Genomic DNA, 26,913 nt, shown 5'->3' on the forward strand with positions numbered 1-26,913 from the left:
TTCCTCTTAAAGGTGGGCTTATTACATGTGAACCAATGGTAATCTTCCCTTGTATTAGAAAAATACCTGGAAAGCCATTACTCTTCAAAAGAAACTATCTTGTTACTTAAGGTTACAGACAAGTAATGGGAAACCCAATAAGACAAGTAAAATGGTAGTCTTGGAATATATTCAGTAGGCATTTCCATTGAGGGTTATGACAGACAATGATGAAGGCAAATCTGTGGCCAGCATAATTCAAGATACAGTGAAGGAGGACATGGGGTTTTGAATGAGGGGTACCTGCCACCTAAAATGCATTCAGTAAATACTTGCAGACTGAATAAATAAATAAATGGGCTGGGTGCAGTGGCTCATGCCTGTAATCCTAGCATTTTGGGAGGCCAAGATGGGAGGATTGCTTGAGGCCAGGAGTTTGAGACCAGCCTGTTCAACAAAGCACAACCCATCTCTATTTTCATAAACAAATTTTTTTAAATAAATGAAAGATAGTTAAGGGTTTTTAAAAATTATTATATCTACATTATGAGAAGAAGGCCTTTATTGTCCTTGGAGGTATGCATTTCCAGACCCCTTACTTAAGAGCTCCTGGAATGTGGTTCTGCTTGACAGAGTTCTGTATTAGCACTTGGATACCAGAGGCAGCACCACAATCAAGCTGCCAGGCCAGAGAATGTTTCCTTTCCAAACTCAGCTGCCCTCTTGCACTTAATCTAATTGGGTAGTGATAGAAAAGTACAGTTGTTACTAAAACACTCTTTTGCCTGGATATTCTGCAATTCATGGTCATGCTTAGCTTCTTTTATCCAATTAGCTACCTCAGCTTCTTTTTTTGCAGTAGCAAACAGATTTAGCCAGAGAAACATAGCAGCTCCTAGAATGCCTAATGCCAAAGTTATCAGATTCACTTTAATACAATTACAGATCAGATTTAAAGAGACAAAGGTACATTCTCAGAAACACTTTGTGAATGTTTGGCTTCCTGCATCCTCAGAGCTAATGTTTAAACAGGCTTTGACTGGAAAATCAATTGTTCCTCTGTAAGGGAGTTTAAGATCTGGTTTTCAAATGCCAAGAACTGCTGCTCTGGACATTAAAAAGAAAAGAATAAAAGAAGGAGGTATAGTTGACCACTTGTTCAATCCATGATTCATTGCGGACACTGTCAACAAAGCAATAAAAAATTGAAATTAAATATTTGAAAAATAATCTACTCTACCATCATCCTGGGTGACCTTAACTCCCACAGCTTTAGCTCTCTTGCATATTGATGATTTACAAATGTGCAGTACTAGGAACATGTCTAAACTGAACTTCAAACCATATATATCACAGTATATTGGACATCTCCACCTGGAAGTCCCATGGAACCACAAAGTCAATATGTCTAAAACAGGGTTTATCCACTCTTCTCCAAAGCTGGTCCTCCTTCTGGGAACCACTGCCCAGCCAATCAAGCTCAATGCCTGGGACCATCTGTATCCATGATTCTGTCCATCTCAACTCATGACCAAGACCATATTTCTCTCTTTGAAACCCCTTTGAGATCCACAGCTTTCTTTTTATTTTATGGCCTCTTCCACTGTTCTGGCAAAACTCTCTTAAACTATTCTGCCTAGAAGTGCTGCCTTATAGCCGTGGAGTTTGTATGCTGTACAAAGGCACATGGCTGAGTGAGATGAATGGAGGCAGAAATCTAATCCACTCTTACCCCTTAAGCCTTTTACTCTGACAGAGCTGTGCCCCTTTAGAAGACCCCGTTTCCAATCCAAGCAAAGTTTCCTGAACTTGTGGGCCAGCTGAGGCCCTGTGCCTGTCTTTAACGCGCCTTTCACTCTGTAGCCATGACCCTGTTTAAGACGCTTCAAAGACTCCTATGACCTTTAGGATAAAATTTAGCCCTCATCATTTTATAAAAGGGCCTTCGAGAGCTGAACTCTGCCTTCCTGTTTACTTTCTCTCTTTCCGTCTCCCCATGATCCCTGCCTCTCTCCTTACTGGGCCACTTGCAATCCCACCCCATTTGCACCCCACTCACACTCCTGCATCACCACCACCACCACCACACGTGGGTCCCTGCATTTGCACAGGCTGTATTGCCTGCCTGGTAGATGTTTCATCACCTTCATTGCCTGGCTCCATTCAACACATTCTTTAAGATCCAGTCATCCCACTGTGGCAGGCCTTCCTTAACTCCAGTCTCCAGTCTCAAAAAAATGTTCCTCAGTTCTATGTGTAGAATTAGTGCTTGCATCTGTTGTAGCTCTTACACCCTGCACTGTAATTCTCTGTTCACTTGCCTGTCTCTTTCCCTAGAGGCTGAACTCCTTGAGGGTCTTTGTGTCCCACGTGACTAGCATGGGCTTGGCACTGAGTAGGCATTCAATAGATGCTCACTGAGTAAATGAAGGCACTCATGTTTGAGTGACTCTGCCTTGAAGGCACTCATAACGTTAATGAAGATCAAGTTAGGCTATTTTTGAGGAGTCATAAGTGGGTATGTCAAAAACATTTACTGGCATAATATGTAGCATATTATTTTGAAGAAAAGCTAGAAAAAATAAAATCACAGGAGAGACCACTTATTCAGTACAACCCATAGACCAGCCACTGTGTTAAGTGTGTCTTATACTTGATCTCTTTAATTATCTCACAACCCACAGCGTACATACTTCTCTCCATTTCTGATTTACAGATGGGGATATGGAAAAGATGATACATTTGGATTCCTACCCAGCTCAACCCAGGCTCAGTGCCAGGGTATCCCCAAGTGGATAGGCAGTTTTGGGCACTGCCCTGGGTGACCCAACATGCTCAGGGAGTCCTGGTTCAGCCTCCTTTGCAGAGTCTTAGGGTCCTCTATGGAAAGGGACAGCAGCAGTCATGAAGCCCAGTGGCTTTCAAACCTTATAGCTCAAGGGGTTTGTGGGGAGCCCACAGGGGCTACCTCAGGGGGTGAGGAGGAGGTTAAGTGGGCAGGGCTCTGCTTCCTCCTCATTCCTTCTCCCTTTTAATCAGATCAATTTGACTGGTATTTATATGATACAGTGGAATTCTGCATAAAATTTTGTTTCCCTGCTGAAAAGCTTGGAAAACTGCCTTTCTTGTCCACTTTACCTGAATTCCCTCACCACAATACTCCCTGTCCTCCCCTACCCCACACACAAATGCACTAAGCTTAGGAATGAATGCACACTTTAGGCTCTGAAGTTCTAGAGCTGCCATTGCTTACGTTTTCCCTGGGCCAGAGTGAGCCGGGGCTCAGTGAGACTCCCAAACTAGACCCTCAAGAAGGGCATCATTCAGGTCTTATCCTCCTATTTCAGCATTTTTTATACTGTTCTCAGGAAGCAGAATTAAGACAATCGATAATGCTGCAGTGGGCTAGCAAGTGAGCCAGCCACTCCAATGACAGAGCTTCAATATGAAAATGTCTTTCAAGTTGCCGGTAATGAACTTTAAATACAATCTGTAAGAGGAGCTTGTGATGGTCTTTCAAAAGACATACCAATGAAGTTTGGATAGAAAATATCAGCACATCCACCCCCAAACTGGAAGCTGGTGCTGGTCCTAAGTAGGAACTTAAAAGATGGGTGATATCCCAACAGAAGAATTTGAGGTTATTAAAATTCCTTCTTAATTTATAATGAAGGGAGGACTCTGTCACCTGCTTCTTTCAAGCATGAGAAGGGCTTAGCTCTATTTTATTATTTTATGTTTTTTAGAGATGGGGTTCTCATTCTGCTGCTCAGGCTGGAGTGCAGTGGTGCAATTATAGCTTGCTGCAGCCTCAGACTCCTGTGCTCGCGAACTCCTCTCGCCTCAGCCTCTCAAGTAGCTAGGACTGCAGGTGTGTGCCACTGCTCTGGGCTAATTTTAAACAAATTTTTTGTAGAAATGGGATCTTGATATGTTGCCTAGGCTGGTCTCAAACTCTTGGTCTTAATGATTCTCCTACCTCGGCCTCTGGAGTAGATGGGATTAGAGGTGCAAGTCACTGCTCCTGGCCTTAACTCCATTTTAATTAATTCCTCATAGACACAGGGGGCAACTACAGTTTGTTTTTTAAACTACTTTTCATTATCTTAGTTTTACAAAAGCAGGATAGTCTAATATTGATTACATGGTCACATATTCTTACATTTTAATTAGCGCTTTATCTAAAATATTGAATCTGAAATCACATATTTTCCATCTCTCTTTTCTTTCAAAAATATAATTTATTTTAAAATCTAAGTCAAACATTGGTCTTTGACTTATCAATTGGCCTTCATTATTACTAATGAAAATATATTGACCAGCCTTGCATGCTGAGAGAAAATTAGAATGTAAAGGGATTAAAAGTCAGTGCATGTCACTTCCTTGGTCCAGAACCTTTTTTAGCATATTAAAAAATTTTTTTAATTTTTAATTTTTGTGGGTATATAGTAGGTGTATATATTTACAGGGCAGGGTCCAGAATCTTTAAAACCACTGGAATATTCTGAGATCGGGTTGCCTATCAAAATATATATGCATCACCAATTTCACACAGGCCAAGACAATTGCTTGGAGAAGGCATTTTAAGTTGTATTAGCTATGGTGGCAGTAGAATGGAAAGAAAAAAATGCAAAAGGGCTAGAGAATTAAGCACAATGTCTTTACAAGCTTGTTTCTGACTATTTTAATGAGGGAATGAAAATTTCACATCTCAGTGTGAGATTAGCTCTGCTCTCTCTACTCCCCTTGCATGTGGTACTTTTTCAGCTTGAACCGAGATAAAGCACCTCCCTTTGAGAGATGAGAAGAAATCATTCTAAGTGGGGTGTGCCTTGCTGCCTCTGCCTTGGGAAAACATCCAGGTCATTTCATTTCTATTTAGCAGGAATCCTGAAAGGATACATATACTGCCTCATTAGACCGGAAGCATGGAAGAGCCGTGGAAGTGTGCACGGAAAAGCATGGAAGTGTTTGTTTCCATTTGCAAACATTCTGACTTACAAAAATAACAGCTTTCTTCACGCTTGCCACTTGGAACATGGCTTCTTATAAAGGAGCGATTCTCTCAGGGGAAGAATTTAACCGTTAACATCTGTTGAGATAAAAGCCGTTCAGCGCTAGAGGCCTGGGAGAGGTTTCGTTATAACTGTGCAGAAAGAGTGCACAGTGACACTGTCCCACACCCATCTCCCCATCACATTTCATTTCCTTCTGTCTTGCAGAGTAATTTGCTCAGGTTCCCAAAATGGTCATTAGGATTTAAAATGCAAGAGTAGATGATTGCAGCCTGCTTTGCTTGGTTGATTTGAATGCTAGTTCTAAACCCTTCGGGGTCATCAATAAGTTGCAGGCAGAGAAAGGGTACAATCGTGCTGTTCAGAGAGGCAACATCCAACTCACTCCAGCCCAGAGGGCTAGCTCGGTGACATTTGCTGTCAGAGTCCCCATCCTTCCCACTTTGCCAGACCCTCAACATCCCCACTCCCTATCCCCCAAATGCCTTGCAACTGCACAGATGCCTTTGGAACAGGCCTGGAAGCTCGTTATGTCTGCTCTGAGGCTGCTGTGAATTGGGACTCCAGCTATTCAGCCTCCAGGAGCTGTGCTGATTCAGAACACTGCAATTAAAGGTGAAGTGAGAGGCGGTATCAATTTTTGAAAGCCCTTTTGTTCCACTTCTCCCACAATTCTCCATCTGCAATCTCTTCCCCAAAACTTCAGAGGTAGGAAAGAGGTGTGGTTAAGCAGGCAGTTCCCCAGCCAGACTGCCCAGGGCTGGAATCCAAGTCTGTGACCATCACTTCCTTCCTATGTGCCCTCAGGCTAGTGACTGACCCAACTCTCTGTGCCTTGGTGTTCCGTTCCATGAAATGGGTAGAGAGAGTATACCTGCCTCATGGGTTATCAGGGATTAAATGAGGAAATATACCTATAACACCCAGAATGACGCCTGGCACGTTGTAAGTGCCCAGTAAGTGTTGGATGTTCCTGTTTCTTGCCTAGGGAGAACACAGGTCAAGCATCAGCATGTCACAAAGGTAAGGCAACACCTTTGTCAGGAGACCACTGTCTGGACAGTCTCTTTAGGTGCAATATACAGGAACTTTTAACCTGTATACCATGCTATAAACCCACAAATCTGCCCTGCTGAAGATTTCTAAGGTACTTGTCTGTAAAGAGAAGACTCCCAACACAAGAAGTGCTGTGTGGTAGTTGAACCTCTTTAGGCTGGTTTCCTACCATGCTCAAGAGAAAGCCGGCAGAAACACTGGGGCACAGGAGAAAAGCTGGCCAAAAAAAAAAAAAGCCCCAAATCACCTCAAAGTGAACAAGGACCCCTTTTTCATACCACCAAAGCCCAACTTTTTTTTCCTCAAGTGGAATAAACTTAACAACATAAAGGAAAGCAGCACTTCTTTTTGGTGTCCTTTTTAGGTCTGCTTAGCCTCAGAGACACCTTGTACAGTCTGCAAGAACATTCTGAAAGTAGAATTGAATTCTGAGGAAGAGGCTGTGACTGACAGTGTTACCTTTCCTGTTAAAAACCATTCAGGATTGTTCTGGAGCCAACGGACAAGAAAACGGGATTCTTCCTCCCACACCATCCCCACTGCTGTGTATTTCTTCTGGATACACAATAATCATATTAGAAGAATTAATATTTATTAAGGATGATTTTTGTGCCTAGCACTGAGCTGAACATTATAAAAAGCATTATCCTATTTAATGCTCTTTGTGCTGCTTCCAAGAAAGAATACAATGCTGGAAAGAAAAGACCTAAAAAGCCCTCTGGTTAGCTTTCCTGGACTCAGAAGGGTTTATGTGTCTAGGTATTTCAAGTGCTTGACAGCAGTGTGCTCTAACATCGGGGCTGAGCACCCAAACCAGAGAGACTGCATTTAAACAGCTTGTTAATTTACAGTTCTCAAAAGTGGTGAGGTGAGAACAAACCTATGGCAGAGACCAGTAAGAATTCCAACCAAGACCTGGTGGGAAGTCCATTCACTTATTCATTCATTCATTTGTGACATACATACTGAGTGCCTGTTATGTGCCAAGCACTCTTCTAGGCCTAGGGATATAGCAATGAACAAAGCCATTCTTGACCCTTATGAAACTGTTCACATCCGAGGGGTGTTCACCAGAGTAAACTAAAACATTATAATGTGATACAAGATACAGTAAGACATAAATAAAACTGTAAGGGGAGAGTGGCGAGGATCCTTTTTTAGACGGGGCAAACCTCTGAGGCAGTGATGTTCGAGCAGCTCCTGTTGGGGATGACACAAAGGAGAATACCACGTGGTTATGTAGCAGAAGCTCTCGGCAGAGGCCACAGCAAGTGCAAAGGCCCTGAGGCAGGATGGCAGTTGGCCACTGAATAGGAGTAGAATCAGCCAAGTGGTGCCTGGCAGGAAGGGAAATCGGAGAGGCTGCCGGAGTCAGATCATGCAGAGCTTTGCAGGTCAGCAGCAATCGTTCCAGACATTGAACCCCTAGTAGACTTGGGCTCTCAACACATTTTAATTTTCATAAAACCCTCTTTAAGTAGGTCATGTAACTTCTTTTTAACAGTACCTGAAGCCACCCCCACTGAATGGTAGAGATCTCCTGGGGTTCCAGAGCATCTGAGTTCATCAAGGGTGATGGTCTCTCCCAGCTGGCTGTTAACCAGCACTCTTTTTCTCTCCTCTCCATCAACTGGGACATATTCCTAGAGCAGAGAAATCTATTTTTAAGTGCGATGAGATATTTATTGACTGGCTTCATTGTCTCAAAATACTTGCCTTAGCCTTTCCTTATGCCTGGGCAAATTCTGACACCAAATGGTTGTTTTCTGCAGCTAGGCCTTAGCATACATCCTGCAATGACTTTCTTACAAAAAGTGGTAAAAACAACTTAAAGCACAGCTGTACTAAGAGAAAAAAAAAATGAATAGTAATTTAGCAATAGATCAATAGCCCATCATCTCTGAATTTCATTTTATAGAAGAGGGCTGTCTTTCTTTGCTCAGTCTATGCCACGGAGTTAATTTGTGTGAAAACACGCAGGTATTAGACTAGTTATTAGAGAGCTCTGCCCAAATGAAATAACATAATAAATAATTCTAAAATATAATAAAAATGGATTAACAGACTGAAAAATGCAATGAAAACTCTTAGGATCTATATTAAAAAGGAAAACATAATATAAATTGAACTTAATTCCCTACATTTTTATTCTCTATAGTCAAAAGTGATATGAAGATGCCCTCATTTTAGCTATAGATGGGTCTGTAAATAGGACATGGTAAAATAGGTTTAAGATGAGAATGATTCAATCTATCCAAAAGAACCAAGGGGTTTGCTTTTGGAGGGCATGCCCAGACTTCCTACTGAGCCTTGTGCTGCAAAGAAAGTAATAGAAATTCATTTTCTAAATCTGGTGTTGGCTACCACTGCCGATTCCCATTAGAAAGTTCTGCTTGGTTAATCCAATCATAATTTATTTTATTGCCAACGATTATAATCTAGAGCTAATCTGATTAGTGCTAATATCCCGAGATCAGTAGGACAGTTTTCTGTTCCTTACTAGTTGTATTACTTTTGTTTTTGTTTTTGTTTTTGTTTGAGATGGAGTTTTGCTCTGTCGCCCAGGCTAGCGTGCAGTGGCGCAATCTTGGCTCACTGCAACCTCCACCTCCTGGGTTCAAGAGATTCTCCTGCCTCAGCCTCCTGAATAGCTGGGACTACAGGCGTGAGCCACCACACCTGGCTAATTTTTTGTATTTTTAGTAGAGACGGGGTTTCACTGTGTTAGCCAGGATGGTCTCGATCTCCTGACCTTGTGATCCGCCCACCTCGGCCTCCCAAAATGCTAGGATTACAGGCGTGAGCCACCGCGCCCGGCCAGTTGCATTAGTTTTTAGGGCTGTCATAACAAAGTACCACAGAATGAGTGGCTTAAACAACAGAAGTGTGTTGTCTCACAGTTCTGCAGGCTGGCAGTCAGAGGTGCGTTCTGAGGGCTGTGAGGGAAAATTTGTTCTGTGCCTCTGTCCTGGCTCCTGATGATTTGCTGGCAATCTTTGGCATTCTTTGGCTTGTAGATGCACCACTCAGATCTATGCCTTCATGTTCACATGGCTTTTTCTCTGTGTACATGTCTGTTTATGTCCAAATTTTCTCTTTATATGGGACACATCCACTATAGGGTTTGGGCCCACCCTGATGACCTCATCTTAACTTGATCATCATCTGCAAAGACCCTATTCCCATATGAGGTCACATTCACAGGCACTGGGGAGTAGGACTTCAACTTCTTCTTGGGAGACACAATTCAACCCATTAGCATGATGTAAAAGAAGCTTAGTTAAAAACTCTTCCTTTGGGCTGGGCACAGTGGCTCACGCCTGTAATCCCAGCACTTTGGGAGGCCTAGACGGGTGGGTCACCTGAGGTCAGGCGTTTGAGACCAGCTGAACAGCATGCTGAAACCTCATTTCTACTAAAAATACAAAATTAGCCGGGCATTGTGGTACGTGCCTGTAATCCCAGCTACTTGAGAGGCTAAGGCAAAAGAATCACTTGAACCTGGGAGGTGGAGGTTACAGTGAGCCAAGATTGTGCCATTGCACTCCAGCCTGGGCAACAAGAGGGAAACTCCATCTCAAAACAAAAAACAAAAAAACAAAAACAGAAACCTCTGTCTTTTTAGGATCCTCTTGGATACCCTTCAGGATTATGCTTAAGGACAAAAGGATCCTTGTAGTAAACAAATCATCTCTTCTTTACGTAGGCATTACATTTTCAGCCTGATCTCTCCTTCTTGCATACATGTGTGCATGTGTGCATCTGTGTGTATGTTTGGTTTGCTTGATTTCCAGCCAGCATAATCAATTTTTTTTTTTTTGAGATGGAGTCTCGCTTTGTCACCCAGGCTGGAGTGCAGTGGCACAATCTCAGCTCATTGTAACATCCTCTTCCCATGCTCAAGCGATTCTCGCACCTCAGCCTCCCAAGTAGCTGGGATTATAGGCGCCTGCCACCACGCCTGGCTAATTTTTGTATTTTTAGTAGAGACTGGGTTTCACCATGTTGGCCAGGCTGGTCTTGAACTCCTGGCCTCAAGTGATCTGCCTGCCTTGGCCTCCCAAAGTGCTGGGATTATAGGTGTGAGCCACTGTGCCCAGCCCAGTACATCCTATTTAACTAGTCCTTTTCTAACAGGGCAAACCTGGAAATTAGCTATGCCAAAGGACTTCAGAAACTGGCAAGCAAGCTGAGCAAAGCATTACAGAACACGAGAAAAAGGTAAGTATTGTGGCAGAGGTAAGGCAAAATCAACCCTTTTTTTATTTGTTTTTTGTTTGTTTGTTTGTTTGTTTTTTGAGACAGGGTCTTGCTCTGTTACCTGGGTTAGAGTGCAGTGGCACAATCACAGCTCACTGCACCCTCAATCCCCCAGGCTCAGGTGATCCTCCCACCCAGCCTCCCATATAGAGTAGCTGGGACCATGCCCTAAATTTGTTTTGTGTTGGGACAGGGTCTTACTATGTTGCCCAGGCTGGTCTTGAACTCCTGGGCTCAAGTAATCCTCCTGCCTTGGCCTTCCAAAGTTCTGGGATTACATGTGTGAGCCACCACACCCAGCAAAATCATTCTTAAAAATAGTAAAAAGTGACATGTTCCATTCCAGCTTCCTCTTCTAAACATGGCAAGTACATAACATCAAGCATGGCTTCCAGTTCTTGGGCACTTACTGTGTGCATGCACTGTGTTAATGCTTTACTGATACTCCCATTTAATCCTCATAAGAACCCTTGAGAGGTCTTGTTATCCCTGTTTACAGATAAGGACTTGAGACAGAAAGTTCAAGATACTTCCCCCAATCACCCAGATCATGAGTTGCATAGCTGGATTCTTCCTCAGTGTTTATGACTCCTAAGGCCACATTCATAATAGGCCTTGGTAATGATATTTAACTTGGGAAGTGGTGTTGTTAAAGTCAGGTTGTCTTGGAGTCAGGAAGTGTAAATCCTATATTTTCTCTACTCTATGGCTTTTGACAAGTAACCTGGCCTCTGTGTGCCTTTATTTCTTCCTCTGTTGGACAGAGTAATAATATGTGCTCTATTGTGTGTGTGTGGGCATATTAAATGAGATCATGTGTGTGGAGAGCTTAGCACATTAGGTACTGAAAGGTATTGGTTCACATTCTTTTCAATATATTGCAGCACTAAGAATGAAGTAGATTCCTTTATTAGGGGGAGAGAAGAAAGATATTGGTATACCAAAGATAGTTCATTCGTGGTAATTTGCTACAAAGATTCTTGACTAATGCATGCAGACGTGCCCTTGAACTGACAGTGCCATTGTAGAGGTCTCTTTTGATGATGAAAGAGATAAGAAGGGGAAAGGAAAAAAAGAAGGCTTCTGGAGCTCAAATTTCCACTCTTCTTTAGGCATCAGCCATAATAACAAATGGTGGCTTTGAAAGTGCTCTTTTAGCTTTATTTTTATTTTTAGGACAGTATTTTAGTAGACTACAGTGAAGCCAGTATAGCACAGTGGTTGAGTATAGATACACTGCCCAGGTTTAAATTCTAACTCTACCACTTAACAGGTGAGTGACCTAGGAAAATTTATCTTACCTCTCAAGATCTCTTTAAAGTAAAAGTAAAGCCTATCTCTTATGGTTGCTGTGAGAATTAAATACGGTAATATAAGACGTGTGCTTAGCAGAGTACCTGGCAGGGAACGAAAGCTCTGTGAATGTCCATTACGTTTTTGATTCGAATTGCCTCCTAAGGAATGAGGGGTGTAGGGGTGTGTGTATTGTGTTACAGCTCTGTCATCCAGCAGAATACTACCAAAGAGTTGGCAGGTCCAGAATGTTAGGCCAACTGGGATTAGTACAGTATTTAACAGTAAACATTAGAGAATTTTTATCCATACCGAAATCTGTGTTAGGTACTACAGATATCCTGTTACTTCATTACTTCTAATTCTTTCTCTCTTTCTTTCTTTCCTTTCTTTCTCTTCCCTCCCTTCCTCCCTTGCTTCCTTCGTTCCTTCTCTTTCCATTTTTACCCTGTCTTTTCACAGGTGTTGACCAAGTTACTTCTACTTTAAAAGATCAGTTAAGTGAGGGCCAGAGATTCTTCCAAGGTCATGCAGAAAACAAAGGGGGAGCATCTCCATTCAGACACAGACTGAGGCCACATGCTTGGTTCCTGTCCTGAGACCCAGCTCCTCCAAGGGGCAAATGTCAGATGCTCTACCCAGAAATGTGCCTGACTTCATTTTTTAAAAATCAGCTCTACTGAGTTTTAATTTACATGCAATAATAAGCACCCATTTTAAGCATATGATTTGATCAGTTTTGACATATGTAAATACCCTGTGTAGCCACCACTAAAATCAAAACATAGACATTTTCATCATGCCAAAAGATTTATCATGCCTGTTTGCACTCCTTCCCACCCAACTCCAAGCAACCACTGACCTGCTTCCTGTCAATAGAGATTCATTTAGTGTTTTCTGGAATCTCCTGTAATTGTAAGTATATAGCAGGTATGCTCTTGTGCCTAAGCTTGTATCTGGCTTTGGATGTGCAGAAAATCTGGCATCTTTTGGTCTAGTTCTCTTATTCTTAGACTGCAGGATGCAAACTAAGGCATTTGGAGGCAAAACCTCTGTACCATTCTGATTAAGGCAAGGATGCAGATCCACCCCCTTCCTCTTCATCAAAATCTACACAGGCCTCTGTACCTGGGGTTTCTTGATGTGATTGGACTTACTATCCTGACTGTTGAAGGCAGACTACATGGGGCCACTGTGGAAGAAAAATGACATCACACTCCCTAATCCTCCCGCTATGCCATGAGGGACTGGGTAGCATTATCCTTTGTGTTAAAGTGAGATACTGCTCATGGGACCATTAACTATCTGAGCTGTTGTCCTCAAACCCAGCAGGGAACAGGAACTGGACTCCAACCCCAAGAGCAGCAGCAGGACATGAACAGGGCTCTCAAGCCCTTTATCACTTAACTTTTCTGAGTCTCAGTTTTTTCATATCTATGTGTCCTATGACCAACCTGTTCTCATCCTTGGCTATTTTATTTCCCCTATTTTATTTTATTTTCATTACTTATTTTTTTCTTTTTGGTGGGGAGAGGGGCTCAGGGGATACGGTCTTGCTCTGTTGCCCAGGCTGGAGTACAGTGGCATGATCATAGCTCACTGTAGCTTCCTGGGCTCAAGCAATCCTCCTACCTTGGCCTCCCTAGTAGCTAGGACTATGGGCGTGCATCACCACACCTGGCTAATTTTAAAAAGTTTTTCGTAGAGAAAAGGTCTCGCTGTGTGTGTTGCACAGGCTAGTTTTGAACCTGTGGCCTCAAGTGATCATCCCACCTCAGCCTCCTAAAGTGCTGGGATTTACAGGCACTTTAGGAGGCTGAGGCAGTGCCACCACACCTGGCCATTTCCTCTATTTTATACAGATATGAAATAGGAAATGAAAATCTAAATGAAAAATAACTGGGAAAAAAGCAGTATATATAATGAGTATAGTGCAAATAAATGTATTGGCAGAATGTAATCTCATAGAGAAATTGAAATAAGGTTAGGGAAGTGAATGCAATTGTTGAATGTGGTGAATCAGATGCGATGCTGTATTTCTAGCCAGCACATCCTATTTCCTAGGAAAATGACACTCACCTTTGTTCCCCACTTTTTTTTGCCTTTAGTTGTGTTAGCAGTGCCTGGGCCTGGGCCTCAGAGGGAATGAAATCCACAGCGGACCTGCATCAGTGAGTTCTCCCACCCTGGCCTTTCTCCAACTCCAAAGGGAATCAAATATTTAAAGTGGGTTTGCTACAAATATTCCACTTCCAACTTGCACTGAATAGGTGTTCCATAACACACTATTTTATTTCCCCAGAAAGTAATTTGGAAAGTAGATGTAAACGCTGATATTATGCTTATGTGTCTTTTATGTTTTATTTCCAGAAAACTTGGCAAAGCAATTGAATTGGAAGCAATAAAACCGACTTATCAAGTCCTAAATGTACAAGAGAAGAAGAGAAAATCAGTGAGTCCAAACCTTTCTTTACTCTTCCTGTTTAAAGCAAGATTCCTGTGTTTAGCCCAGAAAAGGAAAAGGTGATCTGAAAGTGGTACCAAGTTTCAGGAATTTATCCTAAAAATAAAATAAATACTTTTATTTATTTTAAAATAAATGAATAATAAAAAACACAAATCCAAGATTTATGTACAAGGATGTTTGTTAGAGCATTGCTTATAATAGTGAAAAACTGGAAACTACTGAAGCATTCAAAATAAATTGTGATAAATTCAAGCAATAGAATAATTTGCAATGATTCAAAATCTTATTGTAGAAGAATTTAATCACATGGGGATTTTTTTCACAGTATACTGCTAAATAAAGCAGAATGAAAAAGTCTAATTTATACAATCTCAACTTTATAAAATGAATATGTATATATATGTATAGAAAAAGCTGGAAGAAGCTTCTCAAAATGTTAATAAGAATGATCTTTAGATGGTGAAATTGGAGGTTATTTTTATTTCATTTTTATACTTTTTTGCATTTTTAAAATAATTTTATTCTATTTATAAATAAGAGAATGATAAGCACAATTTTTACAAAGATGCTTTCTACGCTTATTAGCTTGGTATTATGTAAAGGTAATAATGAGTACAATCCTCAAATGTCCTAAAAATTACAGAAAGATAATTAAACAATCCTTTCAGGGGCACCTGGTCCTCTAATAGCCGATCCTCTACTCTTTCTCTGTGCCTTTCCTTCTAGAACAGTTTTTCTTTCTTTCCTTCCCTCCCTCCCTCCCTTCCTTTCTTCCTTCCTTCTCTTTCTTTTTTTTTCTCTCTCTCCCTTTCTTTCTTTTTTTGACGGAGTTTTGCTCTTGTCACCCAGGCTGGAGTGCAATGGCGTCATCTTGGCTCACTGCAACCTCCACCTCCTGGGTTCAAGTGACTTGCCTGCCTCAGCCTCTCGAGTAGCTGACATTACAGGTGCCTGCCACCACGCCTGGCTAATTTTTGTATTTTTAGTAGAGACCAGGGATCGCTATGTTGGTCAGGCTTGTCTCCAACTCCTGACCTCAGGTGATCCGCCCATCTTGGCCTCCCAAAGTGCTGGGATTACAGGCATGAGCCACTGCCCTCGGCCTAGAACAGTTTCATTTGTGTTCCTTTTTCTTTTTCGTTGTGTATTATTCAGTAGTTAAGCACTTTATACTCTACTTCCAGGCAACATAATTGGGTGTTTAATAAACACTGCTTGGCTCTGATAGGGGTGGGGTTATGGTCACTGTTTGTTTCATGACCAGGTGCAGGTAAGATGTTTGTAAGCTGTGGTAGGTGGTCCCTGTGAAGGGAAGGGGCAGTGGTTAAGGGGGAGTTTCAAGGGAATACAGTCAGATAAAGCACATCCTCAGTGGCAAGTCAGAAGGATGAGGAGAGGTGTGAAAGTTCTGATGGAGGAGAAATGATTTTTAAAAATTTTATTCAAACTCATTAAGCTGGGTCAGGAAGTGGAATTGATGTTTGTATGTACATAGGTATATTTTACCAGAATGGATGCTCTATTCAGAGTTTCGGGTGATGGACAGAACTTGATAGGAATTGCTAGCAAGCAATATAACCTTCTGCCTTTGCAAGCCAACTTAATAAAAACCAATTACTAGTCTATATTTCGTTGATTACAAAATATTTTTCACACTGCATAATAATATGATAGTCATTAGCATTTCTTTAGTATTTACCATAAATGAGGCACAGTGCTGTGACAGTTAATCACAGTGCTTTAGTTAATGGATGTCATGAGCACCCCCGAAATGCTTGTCCTGTTTTTCTTCTTTTCTGCATTGCCCCTCTCCACTGCACCCCACCACCCCACTCCACTCTCTCACAAAATATAAAAGATTAGATTTTATTTTCTAAAGTGACCTTGTTCCACATTCCAGACACATATGTGAAATCAAAAGTGGCATAGTACATGAAATATTTTCATTATGTCTGTTACAATGAACCATATACTCTAAATTTAACCAACTGGAAAAAAATGAAAGTGTAGCATTCGCTAGATCTCAGAGTGGTTGAATAACGGCTGATCTGCTGGGTCTGTGTTCCAGGGAAAAACATTCTGCTGTAACTTACATCAGATCTCCCTGGGAAGTTGTCTAGATCATTTTCATCATTATTATTACTGTCTCTTTGGCTGTTTAAAAGCAAGGGAAAAAGTTAATTATGATTAAGAGTTCAATATCTTTGAAATTAAAGCAATATTCACTTCAGGGGTAATGGAGACACACAGTAAAACTGGCAGTTAGGACTGTTACCAGTTTTCATAGTGTTGAGGTTTTTGCTGCATGGATTGACGTGGAAGATGATGTGATGGGACTAGCAACAATATCAGCTCATGCAAGGGCCTGTTACACATGATTGCACATGTTTACATGCTTTTTACATTCTTATAGATTAGAAATAATTATTTTACCAAGTCCTGTTACTTGACACAGGGATAAGATAATTTGGCTAATATGTCCATTGTAAGATCTTGAAATTCCCATGAATTGTAATAGTGATTGATAAGCTAGTACTGTGACTGTCTTAGTTCAGGCTGCTCTAACAAAGTACCATAAACTGGATAGCTTATAAATAATAGGAATTTATTTCTTACAGTTCTGGAGGCTGGGAAGTCCAAGAGCAAGGCACCCACACATTAGCTGTGTGATGAGGGCCCACTTCCTGGTTCATCAGTGGCTATTTACTCACTGTAACCTCAGATGGCAGAAGGGGCTAGGCAGCTCTTGGGGTCTCTTTTATAAGGGCACTAATCTCATTCATGGGGGCTCCACCCTCATGAACTAATCATTTCTCAGAGCCTCCACCTCCAAATACCATCACATTGAGGGAATAGGTTTCAATCGATACATTTTAGGGGCACGAACATTTAGTCTATTACAGCAACTAAACAAGAAGAAAGCAAAGCTTTGTTTCCTTTTTCCTTTTTCAATAGCTTGACAATGAAGTTGAAAAGACAGCAAATCTTGTCATTAGCAACTGGAATCAGCAAATTAAGGCAAGTATCCACAAATACCATTTGTGTAAACTCAGTTTTTAGAATTGAAGTGTTTTGCTTTCATACAAATGCGATGACATGTTCTAGCATTAGTACTTCTAAGTGCTAACTGAAGAGAAAAATGTTTCCTTACCTGGTTGTTACACAGATATATTTTTCACCAAACCAATGGAAGTGCATGGCTCTAACTATGATTATTTAGCACTTATTATGTGCTAAGTGCTATATATTTATGTATTTAATCATCACAACAACCCAATGTCATATGTCATTGTGCATTGCCCCATTTTACAGATTGGGCAATGGAGACACAGAGAGTTTCAGTAATTTTCCCAAGGATACAGAGCTGGTTAATGGTTGAACCAATGGTTGTCACAAGTTGGGTTCCAGGGTCACTGCTCTTAATCATTCCATTATACTGACTACCTTTCTGTATAATTTGTAACTTACAGAATATGATAAACACCACCTGGGTTTTGTTTTTTTCATTTGTAGAAAGGTGTTAGTGATCTCTACATCATTAGTGAGAGTGGCCCAGTGAGGGGTGGGTAGTGATATGTAAAAGGGGATGCGTATATCAATTTCATGAGTATGTGGGGTCCACTTTTTGTGCACAACACTATTCTAAGACATAATTTTTTTCAAGTAATTTAAAATTTAGTTGGCTAGATGACGTGTGCAGGAAATAGGGAATACATTCTAGGAGGAATTACGATCTGGCGTGGGAAGCTAGAGCATATCTGTATGAGTTCTTAAGCAGAGAAAATAACAGATGGGATCCATATGCACAGAAGATTATTCTAGAACAATGTAGTATAGGAGGAATTCATTTCAGGTAGAAAGGACTAGCAGTAAATCTACTAACAAGATTCAATGAACCCCTCTGAGAAGACTTGTTCTCTAAGTGTTGAAATCCTTTTTCATCTCCAAAGCGTTAGTGCCCACAGAGAACCTTTACAAGTAAACAGCCACTGATGCCAAATAACTAGAGACAGACGCACTCAGAGACAGGCAAACTTGGTGTTACTTCCAAAGCTTCTGCCAAAACTGAGGACTGACTCCATAAGACCAAGGACATTAATAAAAAGTGTTTGATGTAAGTGAATTTCTGTATCCACAGTAGTTACAATGGTAAAAGGATGCTCATGAGAATCACTTTTATAAAAAGTAAAGTCCCAGAAACAGTATCCAGTCATTTGCTTTTTAGTTTTGCCATGGATTTTATGAGTTTTCTTTAAAAGGAATTGTTTTGTATTTTTTTTAAAGAAATAGAGACAGGGTCTTGCTATGTTGCCCAGGCTGATCCCGAACTCCTGGGCACAAGGGATCTGCCCACCTTGGCTTCCTAAAGTGTAGGGATTACAGGGATGAGCCACTACACCTGGCCTTTAAAAGGATTTGTTTTTAAAAATCCATTTTCTTTTAATATTCAGCTTTCACAGGAATTCAGTACAATGAATCAAAAGCCAGAAATAATGCTGAGAGGCTGCAATTGCTCCCAAGAAAAAACATCTTTTATCATTTCCCAGTTTCTATCAAGTCATTTTTTTAAATAAAAGATTTCATTTTTTTAAATAAAGAGTGACAGCGAAATTAGAGAACATAAAATTATTGGGCTATAATAATTTTCTCCCCAGTTACAATTCAAGGGATTCAGCATGTCAGTAATGAAGTAGTCTATTTGGGAGACTCTAATGAAAAGCCTTAAAGGACCAAATATTCATGCGTCACACTCTCATTTCCCAGCAGGCATGTGGCTGACGGGAGGTGGAGAAAGAGGGCCATGAGCTTATTTCTTTAATTTTCCTTTGCAGAGGCTTCCCACGTTTAGAGGGAGGCAGAAGGCTTTGCCTTTGATTCCCAAGCTAAAAAGCCAAGGAAGAGAGACCTCTCCTTTACTATCTGGTTTGACAGTCCTTGCAACCTTGAGGCAAAAAGCCAAAGTCTTTCAATCAGCCTACTTCCTGAACAGGCTAAATCCAACTTAAACCAAATTCTGTTTGCATAATTTATCTCTGGAGCATCATCTTCAGTTAAATTCAACCATGTAGACTAGGAAATTATCCCCTAAATCCTAACCCACTCCAAAGGGTCAGCATGAACAGGGTAGGGAGACTCTTGAGTGCTCCTTCCTTCCCTACTTCTTTCTACTTCTCCAACTCCAGCAAGTGCAGGGCATTTCACAAGATGCCAGACAAATGCCCAACTCTCAGGCTTGGCCATCAGGGAGCAGAATTGTGACCCTTGCTGCACGTTTTAAGAGAACATCTTAAAACAATCTCAAATCGTGGCCTAGGTTGATGTAAAGAATGATGCAGGCAGTCTTCTGTGTTTGCTGTGATATCTTCTGTGGTAAAGCCATTATGCTCACTAGAACATTATTTTGGAGGCTTGCAGGCCTTTGATGATTTAGCAAAATTCAAAATCCTCTTGAGGGTACCCGATATAATGAAAAAGTATGCAGGAGTTCTCCGGACAAAGTGTTAGCTGCTCTGATGTTTTAGGTACATTTTGAAGTGAGGATGGGAATGAAGAACTAAAAGTACACATTTTTGTTTCAGCCTTTGGAGGATTCTAGGATACATAATTGTTAAAGCTAGCACATGAATGTGCTTTGTTCCAAAAGAGGAGAGTTTTCTCTTGGCATCAGCCTCTGCTCCTTTTTTTCTTGTTTGTATGTTTTTTACTCTAGGCCAAGAAGAAATTAATGGTTAGTACCAAGAAACATGAAGCACTTTTCCAGCTTGTAGAAAGCTCCAAGCAATCTATGACTGAGAAGGAGAAGCGGAAGGTAAGCTGTCATGGCTGGCTGGGCGCATGTGCCATAGAGAGGGATGGACTTGCTGCCCTTAGCTACGAACACAAGAGAACGGGTTGATTCCTCCTTCTCTGTGGGATTCCTGCAGAGATGTAGCTTGACAGAGCATAAAAGGGGATTCCAAATCATTACTGGCGTGCGCGCGCGCGCGCGCGCACACACACACACACACACACACACACACACACACCACATACATTTTAAACTTTATTTTAATTCTTTTAAATAGAAGGGATCTCACTGTGCTGCCCAGGCTGGCATCAAAGTCCTAGGCTCAAGGGATCCTCCCACCTCAGCCTCTCAAGTAGCTGGGACTACAGGAGCATGCTACTTTGCCTGGACCACATGTATTTTTAAAAAATATTATTGACAGATGACAAATGAGACCAATGATGCCCACATTTTTTTAAAGGAAACTCTATTAATATCTTAAAAAAACCTCTCAGCTAATACCCCAAATAAGTAAAAATAAATACTATATATATGTTGTTTGTTACATATAGTACTTTATGTATTATGTTAATATGTTATGAACATTATAAAGCATAAAAGTAGAAATGTTTCCAGGATGAAATAAAGATGAAATAATATTTTAAATGATTAGCAAACCATGATGTCTTTAGATAATCATTAAGTAATGTTTTCAGGAAAAATGTATACTTGGAGCAAGGTTCAGCCTTAACTATAGTAAATTTAAATGCATATTTCGAATAGTCTTCTTGATAATTTTTTTTTTTCTTGAGACAGAGTCTCACTCTGTGGCCCAGGCTGGAGGGCAGTGGTGCAATCTTGGCTCATTGCATCCTCCCACTCCAGGCTTCAAGCAATTATCCCACCCCAGCCTCCCAAGTAGCTGGGACTACAGGTGTGCACCACCATGCTCGGCTAATTTTTTTTTGCATTTTTAGTAGAGGCGAGGTGTCACCATGTTGGCCAGGCTGGTCTCGAACTCCTGACCTCAAGTGATCTTCCTGCCTTAGCCTCTCAAAGTGCTGGGATTATAGGCATGAGCCACCGCCCCTGGCCAGCCTTCTCGATAATGTAATTTGTTCATCAAATTTTTTGTCAGATCTCATTTCAGTGTTTGCCCTTTCATGTGGGTAGTAACAAACTCACAACCAGGAGAGGTGGCAGCATCAGCTTGGACATTTTGCTGTGGATTCTTTGTGGTTAAATTGTTGGTAGTAACATCAATCCACAGGTTCTTGGCAGAAATCCTCTAAGATATTTGTGCATTTTGTGTATGTTAACCTAACTGGAGCCAGAAAATGTCTGTAAAATCACATGGCCCAGGTATATGTCAATGGCCACATGTCCCAGATGCTGGAAGGGAAAACACAGTGAGGGCCTAGGGCAGCTTTTCAGGTTGCAGAATCCCCACCCTTCCCCCAGGCCATATCAGAATCCACAACTGTCCATGTGTGAGCACCAGTGTAGACTCATATATTAAATAAGAGTAAGCTTGACAACTGTGTTTTCAGGCAAAATGAACACGAATAATATTGGGGTACAGGAACAAAATGAACATTTTCTGCTTACACCCCAATAGATTATCTTGCACCCCTCTTGTGGTATGTGTCCCAGATTGAAAACCTTTGAAATAGTCGATATCTTCTACAAAAGATGAGTCTCCACTAAGGAAATGCAACCAGCACCACTGCAAACCCCTTACAAAGGAAGAGAAAATTGTCATCACCAGTAGCTCTTTCATCTGAAGAAATATCCATTGAATAACTTAAATTCATTGTTAGCAAGATTTTACAAGACTCTTATTTCTTTCCATGTCAGTCTTCACAGTTGGAAATGATCATAACAAGTATTGAATAATGAGGCAGCTTCCGAAGAGGCGAACCCAGTCTGTTAAAATACTCAGTGCCAGGACCTGCCTAGGCATTCTGAGTGCTCATTAGAAGCTATTCTTTATTGATGTCATGCAATAATAAAGAAAAAAGCATGGCAGCTAAGTGGTGAATTTCCTCTTCCTACCCCCATCAGCAGCTTCCCTGGGAAGTAAAGATCCACAGTGCTCTCTCCTCTCCTCCAGCTGGTAACCATAACCTTGGCTGTTACTCTGTCATACACCCATGCCATCTTCACTGCTTAATCTGGCAGCTTTTGTTAATCCTGAAGCTGAACACCCAAGCGGGGGGCATTCATTTTCTCATCTCACATAGAAGCGCTCATGATCACCTGAGCTGATGCTCTGTGCTGCTCAGCAAATTCTTCCTGGTTTCCTGCTCAGCAGTCTTGATTCCCACCAGAAGCTGATCTAAACCTCCGTTCTCCTCACACCTCCATCCACACACTCCTGGCACAGTATCTTGCCTCCTACCTCACAGAGTAAATAGAAGTCAGCACAGCCACCTGCCTACTGAAGTAATAGCATTTACATATCTGCAATGGAGAGGCCAGTTCTGCATCCTGTGCTCTAATCTCATCCCATTCTGCCTCCCAGAGGCCCTCTCTTGATTATCCCATATTTCCCATATCTTGGACAGCCCACTCCCTAATGATTCCTCCCCACCAGCCTTCTATAACTCCCCCTGTCTTATAGTCTGTTCAGGCTGCTATAACCAAGTTCCATAGATGGAGGTGGCTTCAACAGCAGACATTCTGGAAGTGTGGGATCAGGTGCTATCTGGTGAGGCTTCCTCTTTCAGGTTGCAGACCGGCTACTTCTCATTGCATTCTCACGTGGTGGAAAGAGAGCAAGGAAGCTCCCTGGGGCCTCTTCTATAAGGGCAGTAATCCCATTCATGAGGGTTCCACCCTCATGGCCTAATCTGGTGGGAGGGCACAAATAGTCTATTGCATCTTCCTCCCATCTTGCAAGAGTAAAGAAAGTTACAGGAACACTTATTTATGGGGTCTCACATTCCTCTCCAGATATTGTCATGTCTCCTTTTTACAATACATCTTTTTTTTTTATAATACACTTTTTTAACATCTTTTTTTTTTTTTTTTTTTTTTTTTTTGAGATGGAGTCTTGCTGTGTCGCCCAGGCTGGAGTGCAGTGGCGCGATCTCGGCTTACTGCAAGCTCCGCCTTCTGGGTTCATGACATTCTCCTGCCTCAGCCTCCCGAGTAGCTGGGACTACAGGCCCCGCCACCACACCCAGCTAATTTTTTATATTTTTTAGTAGAGATGGGATTTCACCGAGTTAGCTAGGATAGTCTCGATCTCCTGACTTCGTGATCCGCCCGCCTCGGCCTCCCAAAGTGCTGGGATTACAGGCGTGAGCCACCGCGCCCGGTCACAATATATCTTAGTGAAAGGGGTATCTATCTGCTCTGTTTCCACTTCCTCATCTTCTGTTCACTCTTCAAATCACCCTAATCAAGCTTTCCCCATCTTTCCACTAAGAGTGTTCTTGCCATCGAAAACAATGTCTTCTCATTGCTAAAGCTAACAGGTACTTTCCAAGTCTTACCTTAGTTAACTTCTCGGAAGTATTAAGCATTGTTTATTTCCCGTTTCTAGAAACATTCTCTTCTTTTCACTTTAGTAACAACTAATGCTTTTATTTTCCTCCTACTTTCTGTAAATTTTAAATTAGATTTCTTTATGGGCTCCCTTTTTTGGCCTGATCTTTATATATTGCAGTTTCTGAAGATTTCTCTTCTGGGCCTCACTCTATTCTCTTCACCATTGTCTCTCCAGTGTCTGATACAGTACTCTTGATATCAGGTACTCGATAAATAATACATACTCAATAAGTATATTCTCAAGGATTCAACTACAGTATCTATGCTGGCAATACCCAAATTTATATCTCCAGTCCAAACCAGTCTGTAAACTGCTTTCTGACTCCTTAAACTCAATATCCAAAATCCAACCATCACTTTTTTTCTACCAAAGATAATCTTTATTCCTGTGTTCTCTGTGTCTTTGAATATCATCACCCACCTATCCTCCCAATTCTAACTCAAACCAGATCCTTCAGTGGCACAGTCTCAGCTCACTGCAACCTCTGCCTTCCAGTTTCAAGTGATCCTCCTTCCTCAGCCTCCCAAGTAGCTGGGAGTACAGGCGTGCGCCATCACATCTGGCTAATTTTTGTATTTTTAGTAGAGATGGGGTTTTGCCATGTTGGCCAGGCTGGTCTCGAACTCCAAACATCAAGTGATCCGCCCGCCTTGGCCTCCCAAAATACTGGGATTACAGGCGCGAGCCACCGTGCCCAGCCCCAAATACTTCTTGAATATCTTTGCTTTTGTCTATCTCCACTGCTGACATCCTCTCTCAGGCCGCAATCATCTTTTGCTTGGTTTTTTGTAACCAACAAATCAGTCTCTTTGCTTTCAGTGTTGCCTGTTCCTATCTATTCCCCATGTACAAGCCAAGCTGACTTTTCTTAAACTCGAATCTGAGCATATCATTCCTTTTGAAAGCCTTCAAAGGCTTCCCAATGACTTCAGAATAAATAAAAAAAACTCTTTTTTTTTTTTTTTGAGACGGAGTTTTGCTCTTGTTGCCCAGGCTGGAGTGCAATGGTGCAATCTGGGCCGACTGCAACCTCTGCCTCCCAAGTTCAACAATTCTGCCTTAGCCTCCCAAGTAGCTGGGATTACAGGCACTCACCACCATGCCCAGCTAATTTTTTGTATTTTTAGTAGAGACAGGTTTTCACCATGTTGGCCAGGCTGTTCTCGAACTCCTGACCACAGGTGATCTGCCCGACTTGGCCTCCCAAAGTGCTGGGATTACGGGCGTGAACCACCACACCCAGCCAGGAAAAACTCTTTCATGTGGCCTGTAAGACCCTTCCTGACTTGAACCTTGCCAATCTCTTCAACATCACCTCTCCCCATTCTCCGTCGTAAGCTGTGTGATCCAACTTCACCAAAAAATATCTTTCTGTATCCTGCCATACTATTTTGCCTCACCAACTCCTACTTTCATTTTAGTTTTATTCATATGGAGATCGATTTTTGAGCACTTACTATGAGCCAAATTATAGCTTAAATGTCATTTTAATTTCAAGGCTAGTTTAGATGCCTCTCTTGATGTCCTTCCAGTGGTACCTACATAACTCTATCAGCACACAAGATGGTAATGGTCTGTGGGTCCCTGACTAGAGAGGGAGCCTGTCTTGTTCCATTTTCTATTCCTAAAGCCTTGCACATGACACACGGAAGGCCCTCAATGTCTGGTGAATAAATGAATGCGATGTTTGTTCCAAGAGCAAAAAAAGGGACGAAAGGAAAAGAAGTCAATCTTTGACAAATTTTAGTAAAGGTTTCTGAGAAGTTCCTTAAGTAAGAATACAGGAGTCTACAGCCGGGCGCAGTGGCTCAGGCCTATAATCCCAGCACTTCGGGAGGCTGAGGTGGGCAGATTACCTGAGGTCAGGAGTTCAAGACCAGCCTGGCCAAGATGGTGAAATCCTGGGCGTGGTGGCACATGCCTGTAATCCCAGCTACTCGGGAGGCTGAGGCAGGCGAATCGCTTGAACCTGAGAGGCGGAGGTTGTAGTGAGCTGAGATCGCACCACTGTACTCCAGCCTGGCCGACCAGAGAGACTCCGTCTCAAAAAAAAAAAAAAAAATATATATATATATATATATATGTGTGTGTGTGTGTGTGTATGAGTATACATTCTTCTTTCATATATATACTTGAACTATCTGCTGTAAATTTGCTGAGCAGAAAATTCTAGTCCACAGCTCTATAGTGCAGGCTGATGAATATTAATGGTGATCTCAAAAGCAACTCAGTTCTCATTCCTGGGGTGCTGAGCATTCTCAATAAGAATCCGAGGACAATGATTTAGCAGAGTATAACCATGACTCTCTTTGAGTCCTTGCATTGAACTGTTGCCAGGTTAATGTTCACAAGCTTGAGTTTCTACAGACACATGTGGTTCATTAAACTTGGTACAAAACCAGATATGTCAGCTGGGCGCGGTGGCTCACGCCTGTAATCCCAGCACTTTGGGAGGCTGAAACGGGCGGATCACGAGGTCAGGAGATCGAGACCATCCGGGCTAACATGGTGAAACCCCGTCTCTACTAAAAATACAAAAAATTAGCCGGGCGTGGTGGCAGGCACCTGTAGTCCCAGCTACTCAGGAGGCTGAGGCAGGAGAATGGCGTGAACCCCGGAGGCGGAGCTTGCAGTGAGCTGAGATCGTGCCACTGCACTCCAGCCTGGGGGACAGGGCGAGACTCCATCTCAAAAAAAAAAAAAAAAAAAAAACAAAAAAACAGATATGTCCTGTGTAGGTCATGCATCAGAGCTGGGGGACAGTTGTATAGCCTTAGTATCAATTGGAATAATAAAGTGAATGGTATTAACGTTCAACATTTTGGATGAATGTTTTTCATGATTGTAAGGTTAGTCAAAATGCCCTTAAATAGAGAGAGTCCATTTTAACAGCCTTTGTCTCTGTCCTTGAAACTCCTAAACTACTAAGTCCGGGGGGATCTTTGATGTTTTTTAAAGAATGGTTTGAAGACCATTTGCATCAGAACGATCTGGGGAGCTATAGTCAAAACTCAGATTTTCTAATCCCACTACAGATGTATGAAATAAGTATTGCTACTTGTAGAATTCTGGAATTTGTAATTTTTACAAGCATTTCAGGTCATTTCTAAATAGAGTAAAGTTGGAGAATCGGCTGGGTGCGATGGCCCACACTCATGATCCTAAAATTTTGGGAGGCTGAGGTAGACAGATCGCTTGAGCCCAGGAGTTGGAGACCAGACTGGGCAACATGGTGAAACCCCACCTCTGCAAAAAATATAAAAACTAGTCCCAGCTACTTGGGAGGCTGAGATGGGAGCATTGCTTGAACCCGGGACAAGGAGGTTGCAGTGAGCCAGTGAGCCATGATTCTGTCACTGAACTCCAGCCTGGGTGACAGAGCCAGACCCTGTCTCCAAAAAAAAAAAAAAAAAAAAAAAAAAGAAAAGAAAAAGAAAGATATTGAATGCTTTAAATATATATATATAAAGTTGGAGAATAATTCATGCAATCCAACTTCTTTGTTTTTCAGAAACATGAA

The 26,913-nt window shown here is 41.7% G+C and overlaps 1 protein-coding gene across 12 annotated transcripts in view; it reads left to right on the top strand.

Moving 5' to 3' along the window:
• NOSTRIN (nitric oxide synthase trafficking) overlaps positions 1-26,913 on the top strand; it is a 78,976-nt gene that overhangs the window by 27,908 nt on the left and 24,155 nt on the right. For 8 of the 12 annotated variants that reach the window (XR_007069110.1, XR_922836.2, NM_001171631.2 and 5 more), the window contains 5 exons: positions 10,188-10,271; positions 13,712-13,774; positions 13,974-14,055; positions 17,026-17,088; positions 19,781-19,879. Coding sequence is in view for 10 of the 12 variants with exons in the window: in NM_001171631.2 (NP_001165102.1) it covers positions 10,188-10,271; positions 13,712-13,774; positions 13,974-14,055; positions 17,026-17,088; positions 19,781-19,879 (391 nt within the window). In the remaining 2 variants the exon portion in view is untranslated. Of the gene's footprint in view, positions 1-10,187; positions 10,272-12,065; positions 12,519-13,711; positions 13,775-13,973; positions 14,056-17,025; positions 17,089-19,780; positions 19,880-26,913 lie in introns of those variants that run through there. The other 4 variants (XM_005246270.2, XM_024452662.2, XM_017003279.2 and 1 more) reach the window with 3 other exon arrangements.

Source organism: Homo sapiens, chromosome 2 (genome assembly GCF_000001405.40).
Source record: "Homo sapiens chromosome 2, GRCh38.p14 Primary Assembly".
NCBI lineage: Eukaryota > Metazoa > Chordata > Mammalia > Primates > Hominidae > Homo > Homo sapiens.